At 49.3% G+C, this 14,956-nt stretch overlaps 1 protein-coding gene across 1 annotated transcript, besides 2 other annotated features; it reads right to left on the bottom strand.

Moving 5' to 3' along the window:
* Positions 1 to 2,505: 2,505 nt before the first annotated feature.
* POP7 (POP7 ribonuclease P/MRP subunit) lies at positions 2,506 to 3,871 on the bottom strand. Its single transcript, NM_005837.3, has 2 exons — positions 3,688 to 3,871; positions 2,506 to 3,171 (listed from the first exon to the last, which is right to left on the bottom strand). Exon 2 carries the CDS (start codon positions 3,159 to 3,161, stop codon positions 2,739 to 2,741), a length of 423 nt encoding a protein of 140 aa, NP_005828.2. The 5' UTR covers positions 3,162 to 3,171; positions 3,688 to 3,871; the 3' UTR covers positions 2,506 to 2,738.
* Positions 4,263 to 4,532: an enhancer, noted in NCBI's record as "active region_26382". NCBI's record gives its function as "activates an Ori minimal core promoter by ATAC-STARR-seq in GM12878 lymphoblastoid cells {active_cell/tissue: GM12878}" and the evidence as "EXISTENCE:reporter gene assay evidence [ECO:0000049][PMID:35858748]".
* Positions 13,833 to 14,636: an enhancer, noted in NCBI's record as "OCT4-NANOG-H3K27ac-H3K4me1 hESC enhancer chr7:100292979-100293782 (GRCh37/hg19 assembly coordinates)". NCBI's record gives its function as "activates a minimal SCP1, AML or CMV promoter by ChIP-STARR-seq in primed H9 embryonic stem cells {active_cell/tissue: H9 hESC(primed)}" and the evidence as "EXISTENCE:reporter gene assay evidence [ECO:0000049][PMID:30033119]".

Here is a 14,956-nt window from a genome sequence, read left to right as displayed (position 1 = left end):
CTCCAGCCTAGGAGATAGAGACTCTGCCTCAAAAAAAACAAAAACATCTGCAATAAAAACACCACCATTTAAGTTGCACTTTTTTTAAAACTTGGGTTCTTTTTTCTTTTTCTTTTCTTTTTTTAGACAAGGTCTTGCTCTGTCGCCCAGGCTGGAGTGCACTGGCGTGATCTCAGCTCACTGCAACCTCCCCCTCCTGGGCTCAGGTCATCCTCCCACCTCAGCCTCCCAAGTAGCTGGGACCACAGTTTTGTGCCACCATGCCCAGATAACTTTTTATATTTTTTGTAGAGATGGGATTTCGCCATGTTGCCTAGGCTGGTCTCGAACTCCTGCGCTCAAGAGACTGACCTGCCTCGGCCTCCCAAAGTGCTGGGATTATAGGCGTGAGCCACCACACCCAGCCTTATTTTTTTTGTTGTTGTTTTTGTTTTTTGAGACGGACTCGCTCTGTCGCCCAGGCTGGAGTGCAGTGGCACAATCTCGGCTCTCTGCAACCTCCGCCTCCCTGGTTCAAGCGATTCTCCTGCCTCAGCCTCTAGAGTAGCTGGAACTACAGGCATGTGCCACCACGCCTGGCTAATTTTTTGTATTTTTAGTAGAGACAGGGTTTCACCATGTTAGCCAGGATGGTCTTGATCTCTGGACCTCGTGATCTGCCCGCCTCAGCCTCCCAAAGTGCTGGGATTACAGGCGTGAGCCACCGCGCCTGGCTTTTTCTTTTTTTAAGAAGCTGTGACCCACAAATGGGTCACAACCCGCTTTGATAAACATTGCTTTAGTTGACTTTAGTTTGATAAATATGAAAAATCAGGTCATCCCACAAATATCCAAACAGAAAGTATTACCTGTGTGCCCAGTAATTATTTGGAGTGAGGGGTTCCTTCGCCACTGGAGCAGCCCAGTGAGAAGGGTCTGAAGGCCGGGCGCAGTGGCTCATGCCTGTAATCCCAGCACTTTGGGTGGCCAAGGCAGGCAGAACGCTTCAGGTCAGAAGTTTGAGACCAGCCTGGCTGACATGGTGAAACCCCTTCTCTACTAAAAATACAAAAAATTGCAGGGCATGGTGATGGATGCCTATAGTCCCGGCTACTCAGGAGGCTGAGGCAGAAGAATCCCTTGAACCCAGGAGGCAGAGGTTGCAGTGAGCTGAGATCGCACCACTGCACTCCAGCCTGGATGACAGAGTGAAGCTGTCTCAAAAAAAAAAAAAAAAAAAAAAAAGGGTCTGAAGGGCTCTGCACCTGAAAGCCCGGGTATCATCTAGGTAGGCCCTGCAGGTCCAGGAATTAAATGAAGCCACTTGTCAGTCCCTACCATGGAGCCTGACACTAAGAAGGTCCTGAAGTCTTAGTTTGCTTCCTTTTTTTTTTTTTTTTTTTTTTTGAGATACGGTCTTGCTGTGTCAGCAAGGCTGGAGGAGTGTAGTGCGGTGATCACAGCTCACTGCAGCCTTGAACTCCTGGGCTCAAGCGATCCTCCTGCCTCAGCTAACGAGGTAGCTGGGATTATAGGTGCAAACCACTACACCCATCTAGTTTTCAAAAATTTTTTGCATTTGGGAGGCCAAGGCGGGCAGATCACTTGAGGTCAGGAGTTCGAGAACAGCCTGGCCAACATGGTGTTTCCACTAAAAAAATACAAAAATAATTAGCTGGGCGTGGTGGCACTCACCTGTAATTCCAGCTACTGGGGAGGATGAAGCAGGAGAATCACTTGAACCCAGGAGCCGAACGTTGCAGTGAGCCAAGATGGCACCACTGTACTCCAGCCTGGGTGACAGAGCAAGACTTCATCTCAGAAAAAAAAAAAAAGTGGTTTTTTTGCATAGACTAGGTCTCAGTATGTCATCTAGATTGGAGTGCAGGTGGCATGATCATAACTCACTGCACCTTCAAACTCCCAGGCTCAAGCACTCTTTCCGCCTCAGCCTCCGCCAGTAGCTCAGACTACAGGCTGGAGCCACTGCACCCAACTAGAAGACGAAAATCTTTAAAACAAACATTGGGGCTGGGCACGGTGGCTCACGCCTGTAATCCTAGCACTTTGGGAGGCCGAGATGGGTGGATCACAAGGTCAGGAGATCGAGAACATCCCTGCTAACACGCTGAAACCCTGTCTCTACTAAAAATACAAAAAAATTAGCCAGGGTGTGGTGGCAGGCACCTGTAGTCCCAGCTACTCAGGAGGCTGAGGCAGGAGAATGGCGTGAACTCAGGAGGTGGAGCTTGCAGTGAGCCAAGATTGCACCACTGCACTCCAGCCTGGGTGACAGAGTGAGACTCTGTCTCAAAAAACAAACAAACAAACAAACATTGGGATGACTGGGTTTCTGCACTGTACTGTTTTGTTACACTGCTCATAGCATAATCTATGCTCTCTATAGAGGCAAGAAACACTTGGGTTCCCCTTTCACCTAGATACCTGTAGCGTTTCCTACCATCCCTATTCAGGCACACACAGAATTTACACAGGAAAGAATCAGTGGCAGTGGGATGGCAGGACACTAGTGCAACAGGATTTTTTATTTATATGGCAATAGTTACAGACCGCATACACACACTCAGGAAGGCCCACTAACTGGGCCCACCAAGAGACAATTACCCCCACCCTCAATGCAGAGTCCTTTGGGCTTCCAGGGAACAGGCCTTTTCTTACATGGCTCTGGTCCGAGGTCCAGTACTCAGCATGCGAAGAGCCATATCACGGAGGGGATAAGTGGAGGAGTGTCTTTTCAATTACTTGGGTGTGACCCTGAAGACTCGGATGTGGATGGCTGAGTTGTTGCGGATCCGAGTCAGTGGCTCCCGTGTGTCGGTCTCTGGCTCCAGCTCATCAACAAGCTCCACGGTGGAGGTATTGGCAGCCACCTGCAAGGACCCGAAGCTGCCCGCCTGCAGCTGCAGCGCGATGTTGATGGCGCGGTTGATGGCCAGGCCCAAGCCGTGAATGTAGATCTCAGAGCACGCGTTCTGACCCCGGGCCCCTCCGTCCAGCAGCTTCTGGCAGCGGGCCAGCTGGGCCTTAAAGTCCGTCTTCATGTTGACATAAATGTCATTGGGTCTCCGGGGCAGGCGGCTGGGAAGCCTTTTCCTAAGGGTGTATTCCACTGGATCCAGTTCAGCCTCCACAGCACCGCGGGGCTCTCGGTTTTCTGCCATGCTGTGTGCCCTGGCGTGGGAAAGGGACGCGATCAGAGGGCTCAGAGGGACCTCGAAGCCTTTCCTACCCCTTTTCCTGTACAAAGGGTGCACCTGGCCGGGCAGTGGCTCACGCCTGTAACCTCAGCACTTTGGAAGGTCGAGGCGGGAGGATCACTGGAGCCCGGGTGTTTGAGATCAGCCTGGGCAACATAGCAAGACCCTGTCTTAAGAAAAATTTTTTTAATTACCCGGGCCGAGGGGGGAGGATCGCTTGAGATCGGGAGTTCGAGGCTACAGTGAGCCGTGATCGCGCCCGCCACTGCACTCTAGCTTGGGAAACAGAGCAAGCCTCTGTCTCAAACAAAAACAAAAACAAAAATAAAGGGTGCACCCGAGAAGGGACACACTCGATGTCCCTGTTTCCTTCCGGCCCCTCGTCCTCTCCCACTCACCTCCAGATCCCGCGTCTCCCCACCCCCCGTTCCGATTCATTCATCGCGTCGCCCTCAAACTCGCGCCCCTCCGCCGCCCCTCCCGTGCTTACTCTCTTCGTTCCACAGGGCCCTCCAGGCGCGCGAGGCCCGCTCCCCGCCAGGCCACTCAAGGGTTCGCCGGCCAGCCCAAGTAACCGCGACCCCAGGTCCCAGAGAAAGAAGGATGTGGGTGCAAGCAGCCAGCCAGCTCGTGGGCGCCCTGCCCGCGCCGGGGTCCTGAACGGGCTGCGGAGTGCGCACGCGCGCCCGTACCCCGCGAGCTATGAATCGCCTTCCCGGCTTCCGTTCGCCCCGCCCCTTCCCTGAGCGCAAGGGCGACTGCGCGAGGCGTTTGAGAAACGCGAGACTTCCGGGCGTGACGGGATCTACACGTGTACGCCTCGGGAACTGGCGGGCGGCCGAGGGCGGGAACCAGGTCCGAGCCGGGGAGGAGCTAGAAAGGGCCGGGTCGGCGTCTCTAGGCCTGGCGGAGTTCCCGGCCGGCGGAGGGGTAGCGTAGGGAAGACACCTGGAGGGGAGGCTGTTCTAGGGGCAGGGTTCTTCCCCATGGGAGCAGGGAAGGGGCCGAGTTCAGGAGACCGCGGTCGCCAAGGGGCCTGAACTCCGCGTCCGTCGCAGCTCCTCTGGTCAGAAGAGGCCTGGGCAGGGCTGGCAGAACTGACCCCCTAGTCTAATGTCCCTGTGGCCCGAGGACCGAGGGGGAACTGAGGGACATAGCCGGTCCCCACCTCGCTGGAGGACAGCGTCCCGGGACTCCCCTGCAGTTCACGGGAAGCTGTCCGCCTCCTGTCTGTGCTGGGGACCCACGCTGTGAGCCCTAAGCCCAGGCTTCACGGGTCCCCAAGGAACGCTGACCCACCCACGCCCCTCAACCATCTCCCACCAGCTCTGCAGCAGGCGACCCCGGATCAGGGACTTGCCGCCCCCTGGCGGGCAAGGTGGGGAGGACGCGCGCCGGATTCGTGGCTCTCAGGCCAGTGGAGTGGGGGCTCTGCCCAGATGGGCATAGTTTCTGCAGAGTTCCCTTCTGAAATGAGTAGGACCTGCTGCACTGGGGACCTTGAACTACTCTGTTTGCCCAGCATTCAAATGGGGATGTTCACAACAGCTCCACCATATTGCACATGCATTTTATTGAATGGCTAGCTGTATAGCTTCTGTCTACAAACTTGCATGCATTTATTTTTGAGACAGGGTCTCTGTGGCCCAGGCTGGACTGCAGTGGTGTGATCTCAGCTCACTACAACCTCTGCCTACCGGGTTCAAACGATTCTTGTGCCTCAGCCTCTTGAGTAGCTGGAATTACAGGCGCACGCCACCGCACCCGGCCAGTTTATTTCATTTTTTTGAGACAGGGCCTTACTCTGTCACCCAGGCTGGAGTGCAGTGGCGTTAACACGGCTCACTGCAGCCCTGAACTCCTGGGCTCAAGCAATTCTCCCGCCCCAGCCACCTGAACAGCTTGGACTACGGGCATGCACTAGCATATAAAGTTGTATTTTAGAAGTTAATCCTTGGTATTGAAATTTTCGATATGTTGGCCGGGCGCGGTGGCTCACGCCTGTAATCCCAGCACTTTGGGAGGCTGAGACGAGCGGATCACGAGGTCAGGAGATCGAGACCATCCTGGCTAACACGGTGAAACCCCGCCTCTACTAAAAATACAAAAAATTAGCCGGGCATGGTGGCAGGCGCCTGTAGTCCCAGCTACTCGGGAGGCTGAGGCAGGAGAATGGCGTGAACCCACGAGGCGGAGCTTGCAGAGAGCCAAGATCGCGCCACTGCACTCCAGCCTGGGGGACAGAGCCAGACTCCATCTCAAAAAAAAAAAAAAAGAAATTTTCGAAATGTTCACATAATTGTTGGGAGCGATTCATTCCTCCTCACATGATGTGCCTCCTCTCTCCCATATCCTGTTAATTGTAGCAGTTGCGGGCATTTGCGATGACAGGATATACGGATGGTGCCACACTTGACCTTGAGTACTGGAATGCTCTGAGGTCAAGCATATGCCACAGTGCTTGAGACTGTGGGCATCACCTGTAGTGTCTTTTTCTCCAACTCCTGTCTCCTTGGTCCTAGGGAGGTCTGGCTCTAATTGCTAGTTTCCAGAGATTCATTCCTTTTTTTTTTTTTGAGACGGAGTCTCGCTCCGTTGCCCAGGCTGGAGTGCAGAGGCACGATCTCAGCTTACCGCAACCTCTGCCTCTGAGGTTAAAGCGATTCTCCTGCCTCAGCCTCCTGAGTAGCTGGGATTACAGGTGTGCACCACCACGCCCGGCTAATTTTTGTATTTTCAGTAGAGATGGGGTTTCACCATGTTGGCCAGGCTGGTCTCAAACTCCTGATCTCAAGTGATCCTCCTACCTTGGCCTCCTAAAGTGCTGGGATGACAGGCTTGAGCTATTGTGCCCAGCCTCATTTTTAAGCTTTGGATCACAGGAAGAAGCAACAAGAAACTATACCCAACTCAAAACATTTTAGGAGAATCATAAAATTGGTCCATTTAGAAGGTAGAGTTGGGTCCATTAAGTTATTGTTGCAAGAGGTTGCATATTCAATGATCAGTTATATAAAATAATGTTCTCGTTAGTATGCTTTTCATAATCTGTTTTATCATACATGTAACATTCAAACTGACAAATACACTGACTTGGGAATAAAGGATATGAAAACACTGGTTTAAAAAAAATGGGGATGCTAATTCCTTTCTTGCAGTTGAGTTGTGAAACCCAAGGTAATGTTGTAAACTGTAAACCTACACAGGTGAGTTGGCATATTTATGTCTCCCAGGCCCTTCTCAGTTCCCTAGGATGGAGTCTGACCCCATTTGATCAAAGGTTGAAGAGAGTTCAGATTCTAGAGAAATTTGCTCCCAGCACCCCATTTCAATCCCATAGTTCTTTCCTTTACTTCAGATTCTTTCATTAACCACAAGATTGGGATTGAATTGGAAGATCCAACATATTATAGTAAAGATACCAATTCTCTTCAAATTAATCTATAGGGGCCAAGCATGGTGGCTCACGCCTTTAATCCCAGCACTTTGGAGGCCAAGGTGGGCAGATCACTTGAGGTCAGGATTTCAAGACCAGCCTGGCCAACATGGTGAAACCCCGTCTCTGCTAAAAATACAAAATTAGCCGGGTGTGGTGGCACGTGCCTGGTACTAATCCCAGCTACTCAGGAGACTGAGGCAGGAGAATAGGTGGAACCCAGGAGGCAGAGGTTGCAGTGAGCTAAGATCACACCACTGCATTCCAGCCTAGGCAACAGAGCGAACTCCGTCTCAAACAACAACAACAAAAACCCAAATTGATCTATAGGCGTAATGCAATTCCTACAAAAATCCCAGCAGTTTTTTTGTATTAAATATAGATGTTTATTCTAAACTTTATATGGAAAGGCAAAAGAAGTAGAATAGTTAAAACCACTTTGAAAAAGTTGTTGGAATCACACTACCTGATTTTAAGACTTACTATATAAATAAAGTTATCAAGAAAGTATGGTTTCCCCAGTGGGATAGACACAAAAATCAATAAGATGGAATTGAGAGCTCAGAAATAGATTCACACAAGTGCAGCCAACTATCTCTCTTTAAAAAATAATTTTTTGTTTGTTTATAAGACAGTGTCTCACTTTGTCACCCAGGCTTGGAGTGCAGTGGCACAATCTTGGCTCACTGCAGCCTCAACCTCATGGGCTCAAGTCATCTTCCCGCCTCAGCCTCCCAAGTAGTTGGGACTATCAGCACGCGCCACCATACCCGGCTAATTTTGTTTTATTTTTTGTAGAGACGAGGTCTTACTACGTTGACCAGGCTGATCTCGAACTCCTAGACTCAAGCAATCCTCCTGCCTCAGCTCCCTCAAAGTGCTGAGATTACAGGCGTGAGCCACTGCCAAACAACTTGTTTTTGACAAAGGTATAAAAGCGTTTCAATGGGGAAAGGATGATCCTTTCAAGTGGTGGTGAAACAATTGGACAAATAGGCAAAGAAATGAGCCTCAGCCCTATGCAAAAAGTTAATACAAAATGGATAGTAGATTTAGGAAAAAACTTCATGGTGTAGGGTCAGGTGAAGAGTTTTGTTTTTTTGTTTGTTTGTTTTTTTGAGATGGAGTCTCACTCTGTCGCCCAAGCTGGAGTGCAGTGGCGCGATCTCGGCTCACTTCAACCTCTGCCTCCCGGGTTTAAGAGATTCTCCTGCCTTAGCCTCCTGAGTAGCTGGGATTACAGGCACATGCCACCATGCCCAGCTAAAGGCGAAGAGTTCTTAGACATGACTCCAAAAGCACAATCCATAAAAGAAAAACAATTGGGCTGGGCACGGTGGCTTATGCCTGTAATCCCAGCACTTTGGGAAGCTGAGGTGGGTGGATCACCTGAGGTTAGGAGTTCAAGACCAGCCTGGCCAACATGGTGAAACCCCGTCTCTACTAAAAATACAAAAAATTAGCCGGGCGTGGTGGCATGCGCCTGTTATCCCAGCTACTCAGGAGGCTGAGGCAGGAGAATCGCTTGAATCCGGGAGGCGGAGGTTGCAGTGAGCTGAGATTGCGCCATTGCACTCCAGCTTGGGCACCAAGAGTAAAACTCCGTCTCAAAAAAAAAAAATGATAAATTGGACTTCATCAAAATGTTTAAACATTTGCTGTGTGAAAGATCACATTAATAAGATGAAAAGAGTAGCCACAGACTGGAAGAAAATATTTGCAAATCATATATCCAACAAAGGACTTGTTTCCAGCATATATAAAGCACTCTCTAAGCTCGAGAGGTAGAAACCGAACAACCCAATTAGAAAATGGGCAAATCCAGCCTGGGCAACATGGTGAGATCCTGTCTCTACAAAAAATTTAAAAATTAGCCAGGCCTGGTGGTCTGTGCCTACAGTCCTAGCTACTCAGGAGGCTGGGGTAGGAGGATTGCTTGAGCCCAGGAGGACAGCACTGCAATGAACTGTGATCATACCACTGCACTCCAGCCTGGGTGACAAAGTGAGGGTCTGAGAAAGAAAGAGAGAGGAAGGAAAGGAAGAAAAAGGGAAGGAAGGAAGGAAGAGAGGAGAGAAAGAGAGAAAGAAAAAACAGAAAAAAGGAAGGAAGGAGGGAGGGAAGGAAGGAAGCAAGCAAGCAAGCAAGCGGTGGCTCTTGCCTGTAATCCCAGCACTTTGGGAAGCTGAGGTGGGTGGATCACCTGAAGTTGGGAGTTTGAGACCAGCCTGGCCAACACGGTGAAACCCCGTCTCCACTAAAAATACAAAAATTAGCTGGGCGTGGTGGCGGGCGCCTGTTAATCCCATCTACTCGGGAAGCTGAGACTTGAAAATCGCTTAAACTTGGAAGGCAGAGGTTGCAGTGAGCCAGGATCACACTATTGTACTCCAGCCTGGGCGACAGAGCAAGACTGTCTCAAAAAAAAAAAAAAAAGAAAAGAAAAAGAAAATGGGCAAATCTTAAACGGACATTTCAGTGAAAGAGAGTATAAGAATGGTAAATAAGCACATCATAAGATGTTCAATATCACTAGCCATTAAGGAAATACACATGAAAACCATGACGAGCTACCAATAACACGTATTGAAATGGCTGAAATACAAAATACGAACAATACCAAGTGTGGATGAGAATGCAGGGAAACTGGATCTCTCATACATACACTGCTTGTGGAAGTGGAAAATCGTACAGCCATCCTAGAAAACAGTTTGGCAGTTCCTTCTAAAATTAAACGTACACTTACCAAATGACCCAGCAAGAACATTTCTTGGCATTTAAAAATCTGTACATGAACATCCATAGCATTTTTTTTTTCTTTTTTTTTTTTTGAGATGGAGTCTTAATCTGTCACTCAGGCTGGAGTGCACTGGTGCAATCTCAGCTCACTGCAACTGCTGCCTCCCAGATTTAAGCAATTCTCCTGCCTCAGCCTCCCGAGTAGCTGGGATTACACATGCATGCCACCACGCTCAGCTACATTTTTTTGTATTTTTAGTAGAGACGGGGTTTCACTATCTTGGCCAGGCTGGTCTTGAACTTCTGACCTGTGATCCACCTGCCTCAGCCTCCCAAAGTGCTAGAATTACAGGCGTGAGCCACCGTGCCCAGCCCGTCCATAGCATTTTTATTTGTAATAGCCCAACGGGAAGCAACCCAGATGGCTTTCTTTTCATATTAATTTATTATGTAGAGATGGGGGTCTCCCTATGTTGCCCAGGCTGGTCTTGACCTCCTGTACTTAAGCAATCCTCCTGCCTCACCCTCCCAAAGCGCTGGGATTGCAGGTATGAGCCACCGACCTCCGGATAACTTTTGATCAGTGCATGGTAAACAATCTATGGCACATCCATCCCATGGAATATTACACAGCTATAAGGGATGGATCAAGGTGACCTGTTAGGCTGCGAACATACCAGTTATATTACATAATACTGTGCTGAACTGCTCATATTGTAGTGTGCAAGACAAGGTGAGCATGATCGCATGACCTGTGCTGAGGGGACATGAATAGGATTGGGTGGATCCCCAAGGAGAGACAGCCAATATCATCTTGAGGGATCCAAGGTTTTCCAAGAGGAAGTAATGATTAGGCAGAGACAGGAATGTTTAGCAGTAGGTCCTATATCCTGTTCCCTTTTTTTTGAGACAGGGTCTGGCTCTGCCACCCAGGCTGGAGTGCAGTGGCTTGATCTCCACTTACTGCAACCTCCGCCTCCCTGGCTTAAGCAATCCTCCCACCTCAGCCTCCTGAGTAGCTGGGACTACATGTGTGCACTGCCACGCCCGGATAATTTTTGTATTTTTTGTAGAGATGGGGTTTTGTCATGTTGTGCAGGCTGCTCTTGAACTCCTGGGCTCAAGCGATCCTCCCGCCTCAGCCTTTCCCAAAGTGCTGGGATTACAGATGTGAGCCACTGTGCCCGACCCATATCCTGTTCCAATACGGAGGTCTGAGCCCTGGGAGGATGGGGAGAAGAGGAGGAACCAGTAAAATCTGAGAAATAGCAGCTAGTGAGGTGGGAGGAAAACCAACAGAATATAGCATCCAGAAAGCCAGGTGAAGATGGTATTTCTGGAGGGAGTGACCGTCTATGTCACTGGCTGGTAACAGGTCATGTAAGATAATGGACCAGTAGATTTCACAATGTGGAAGTCATTGGTGACTTACAACGCAGTTACGTTTGGTTGAGCAAAGAACTTAGCGCAGGGCCAAAAGTAATTCTGAATGCAGTAAATTAATTTTAACGCCCATTATGTCTGATAATTAACAATAAGCACAGTTTATGAGCTATCACTCCATTACTCAGGTCATGTGTCTTTCCATGGTACCTAAAATATGTTTTGCAAACTCTGATATCCACATAAATATCAAGGCTCGCAATTTAGGTGGATGAAGACAAGCTCTGTAATAAACCGATTTGACAATAAACTGATCTGACAACAAGACAGTCCTTATCTCCTTGCATGCATTTCTTTTTTTTTTGAGACGGGGTCTCGCCCTGTCTCTCAGGCTGGAGTGCAGTGGCCCAATCTCAGCTCACTGCAACCTCCACCTCCAAGGTTCAAGTGATTCTCCTGCCTCAGCCTCCCGAGTAGCTGGGATTACAGGCGCCTGCCACCACGCAGGCTAATTTTTGTATTTTTAGTAGAGACGGGGGTTTCACCATGTTGGCCAGGCTGGTCTTGAACTCCTGAGCTCATGATCCACCTGCCTCGGTCTCCCAAAGTGCTGGGATTACAGGCGTGAGCCACCGCATCCAGCCCTCTCCTTACATTTCATCAAAGGAAAACACTGAAGAGGAATCTGCCATTAAAAAAAAAAAAGTGGGGGCGGGGCGGGCGTGGTGGCTCATGCCTGTAATTCCAGCACTTTAAGAGGCCAAGGCAGGTGGATCACGAGGTCAGGGGATCGAGACCATCCTGGCTAACACGGTGAAACCCCGTCTCTACTAGAAATACAAAAAATTGGCCAGGCGTGGTGGTGGGTGCCTGTAGTCCCAGCTACTCGGGAGGCTGAGGCAGAAGAATGGCATGAACCCGGGAGGCGGAGCTTGCAGTGAGCCAAGATCGTGCCACTGCACTACAGCCTGGGCATCAGAGGGAGACTCCGTTTCAAAGAAAAGAAAGAAAGAAAAAGGGCCAGGAACGGTGGTTCACGCCTGTAATCTCAGCACTTTGGAAGGCTGAGGCAGGCAGATCACCTGAGGTCAGGAGTTTGAGATCAGCCTGACCAACATGGCAAAACCCATCTCTACTAAAAATACAAGACGCTTGAACCCGGAGGAGCGGAGGTTGCACCACTGCACTCCAGCCTGAGCAACACAGCAAGACTCTGTCTCAAAAAAAAAAAAAAAAAAAAGAAAAGAAAAAGAAAAGAAAGGCAGAGGCTGGCTGTTTGGTCTGCGTGAGACCACTCTTTCATCTCCATTAACCTTCCAAACAAATCTCTTTGTTTAGTTAAAAAGTTTGCAAATTTAGAACACAGACCAAGACATTTTACAGAGCAGCACCTGAACAAACAAAAACACATTAGCTCCAAATGATTTCTTTATTTTGAGATGGAGTTTCGCTCTTGTTGCCCAGGCTGGAGTCCAATGGCGTGATCTCTGCTCACCGCAACCTCCGCCTCCTAGGTTCAAGCGATTCTCCTGCCTCAGCCTCCCTAGTAGCTGAGATTACAGGTACGTGCCACCACGCCTGGCTAATTTTGTATTTTTAGTAGAGACGGGGTTTCTCCATGTTGGTCAGGCTGGTCTTGAACTCCCAACCTCAGGTGATCCACCTGCCTCAGCCTCCCAAAGTGCTGGGATTACAGGTGTGAGCCACCATGCCCGGCCAATTAGGTCCAAGTGATTTCTTTGTAATTTTTAAATTCTTCATGGGAGACTCACAGTTCTTTTTTGTTTTTTATTATATTTTTTCACTTTTCTCTCTTTTTGAGTCAAGAACTCATTTTGTTGCCCAGGCTTCTGGGCTCAAGGAAGGACAAGGTTTATTAGCAGCATGAGAACTGACTAATACAATCACGGTGGAAGACCAGAGGGGTCTCCCTGGATCTCCTGGACACCAATGTGTGACTTTGGACAAGTAATCCCCACCAACTGTAAAGTGTGAACACTGATGCTGAAGTCAGCAGAAATTAAAGCCTATAAACTCCCTCTTTGAGAAAGGAAGCTAGCTGGCAGGGCACGGTGGCTCACGCCTGTAATCCCAACACTTTGGGAGGCCAAGGCGGGAGGATCACTTGAGGCCAGGAATTTGAGACCAGCCTGGCCAAAACGGTGAAACTCCATCTCTACCAAAAATACAAAAATTAGCTGGGCATGGTGGCGCCTGTCTGTAGTCTCAGCTACTCAGGAGACTAAGGTGGGAGGATCACTTGAACCCAGGAGGTGGAGGTTGCAGTGAGCTGAGATCACGCCACTGTACTCCAGCCTGGGCGACAGAGCGAAACTCCGTCTCGAAAAAAATTAAAATATTAAATAAAATATAAAAACAGACAGCAGGACAGGCACAGTGGCTCATGCCTGTAATCCCAACACTTTGGGAGGCCAATATGGAAGGACTGCTTGAGCCCAGGAGTTCGAGAACAGCCCAGGCAACATAGTGATACTTCAGTCTGTACAAAAATTTAAAAGTAAAAAATAATAGCTGGGCCAGGCACAGTAGCTCGTGCCTGTAATCCCAGCACTTTTGGAGGCTGAGGCAGGTAGATCACCTGAGTTCAGGAGTTCGAGACCAGCCTGGCCAACATGGTGAAACCCTGTCTCTACTAAAAATACAAAAATTAGCCAGGCATGGTAGCACACACCTGTAATCCCAGCTACTTGGGAGGCTGAGGCACGAGAACTGCTTGAACCTGGGGTCGGAGGTTGCAGTGAGCTGAGATCACGCCACTGCACTCCAGCCTGGGCAACAGGGTGAGACTCTTTCTCAAAAAAAAAATAAATAATAAATAATACCCGGGTATGGTGGTGTGCCACTCCCTGCAATCCCAGCTACTCGGGAGGCTGAGGAGGGAGGATCACTTAAGCCTAGGAGGTCGATGCTGCAGTGAGCTGATTGTGCCACTGCACTCCAGGCTGGGCAGCAGAGCAAGACCCTGTCTCTTAAATAAATAAAATAGTTAAAAAAGGAAAACAGACAGGAAAACTCCAAGTGCAGAGAAGCCTAGTGGTACTTGGTGGGGGAAACAAAAGTTGTTCCAGGTATAATAGTTCCTGAAGTCAACACTCTATCATGGCAAGACACCAGGCACTCAAATTCCAAGTCATGAACTTACCTTTTCCTTGTTTTGAGGATTACATTGTGTTGGGCGACAGCTCTTTTAGGCTTCTGGGAAGTAAGGTATACATTCTGGAGTAACTTCCAAAGAAAAAGGTGAAAGCATACGCGGAACTTTTGAGCCTTGAAAAAGTTCAGCGAGTCATTCTTGAAAAGTCCTTTTTTTAAACAAAGGGGGTTTCAGTCACCTCACATTTGCATAGCAGTTTCTCTCTTGTCAAAGCCTTTCACATTCACTTATTTTAATTCTTACAGCACTCAAGGAAGAGTGTGGAGTTGGGGGTCGGGGGTTGGGTGCAGAGCAGTGTTAACATCCTTCTGTAAGAGAAACGGAGGCTTTTGAGAGGCCAGGCGTGGCGGCTCATGCCTGTCATCCCGGCACCTTGGAAGGAGGATCCATTTGGGTCCAGGAGTTCCCGGCACTTTGGAAGGAGGATCATTTGGGTCCAGGAGTTCAAGACCAGCCTGGGCAACATGGGGGAAACCCTGTCTCTACAAAAAAAAAAAAAAAAAAAAAAAAAAAGCTGGGCGTGGTGGTGTGCCCTGGTAGTCCTAGCTACTCAGGGTGCTTGAGGCAGGAGGATTGCTTGAGCCCAGGAGGCGCAGGATGCAGTTAACCGTGATCGCGCCACTGCACTCCAGCCTGGGCGACAGAGCAAGACTCTGTCTTGGAAAACAAACAAACAACAAATACAATAAATTAAAAAAATTAGTTGGGTGTGGTGGCACACAGCTGTAGTCCCAGCTACTCAAGAGGCTGTGGCAGGAGGATCCCTTGAGACCAGGAGTTCAAGACCAGCCTGGGCAATGTTATGAGACACGCCACCCGCCCAGTCTTTACAGAGAATAAAAAAGTTATCTGGGTGTGATGGTGCACACCTATAGTCCCAACAATTCAGGAGGCTGAGATGGGAGGATCGCTTGAGACACGGGAGTTGGAGGCTGCCGTAAGCCGAGATCGGGCTAGTACACTGCAGCTGGGGCAACAGAGTGAGACCCTGCTTCAAAAAAATAAATAAATAGGGGCCGGGCGCGG

The sequence above is a fragment of the Homo sapiens genome, chromosome 7 (genome assembly GCF_000001405.40).
Source record: "Homo sapiens chromosome 7, GRCh38.p14 Primary Assembly".
Classification (NCBI taxonomy): Eukaryota; Metazoa; Chordata; class Mammalia; order Primates; family Hominidae; genus Homo; species Homo sapiens.
The sequence above is the reverse complement of the archived record's forward strand: the minus strand, read 5'-3'. Positions and strand labels throughout refer to the sequence as shown.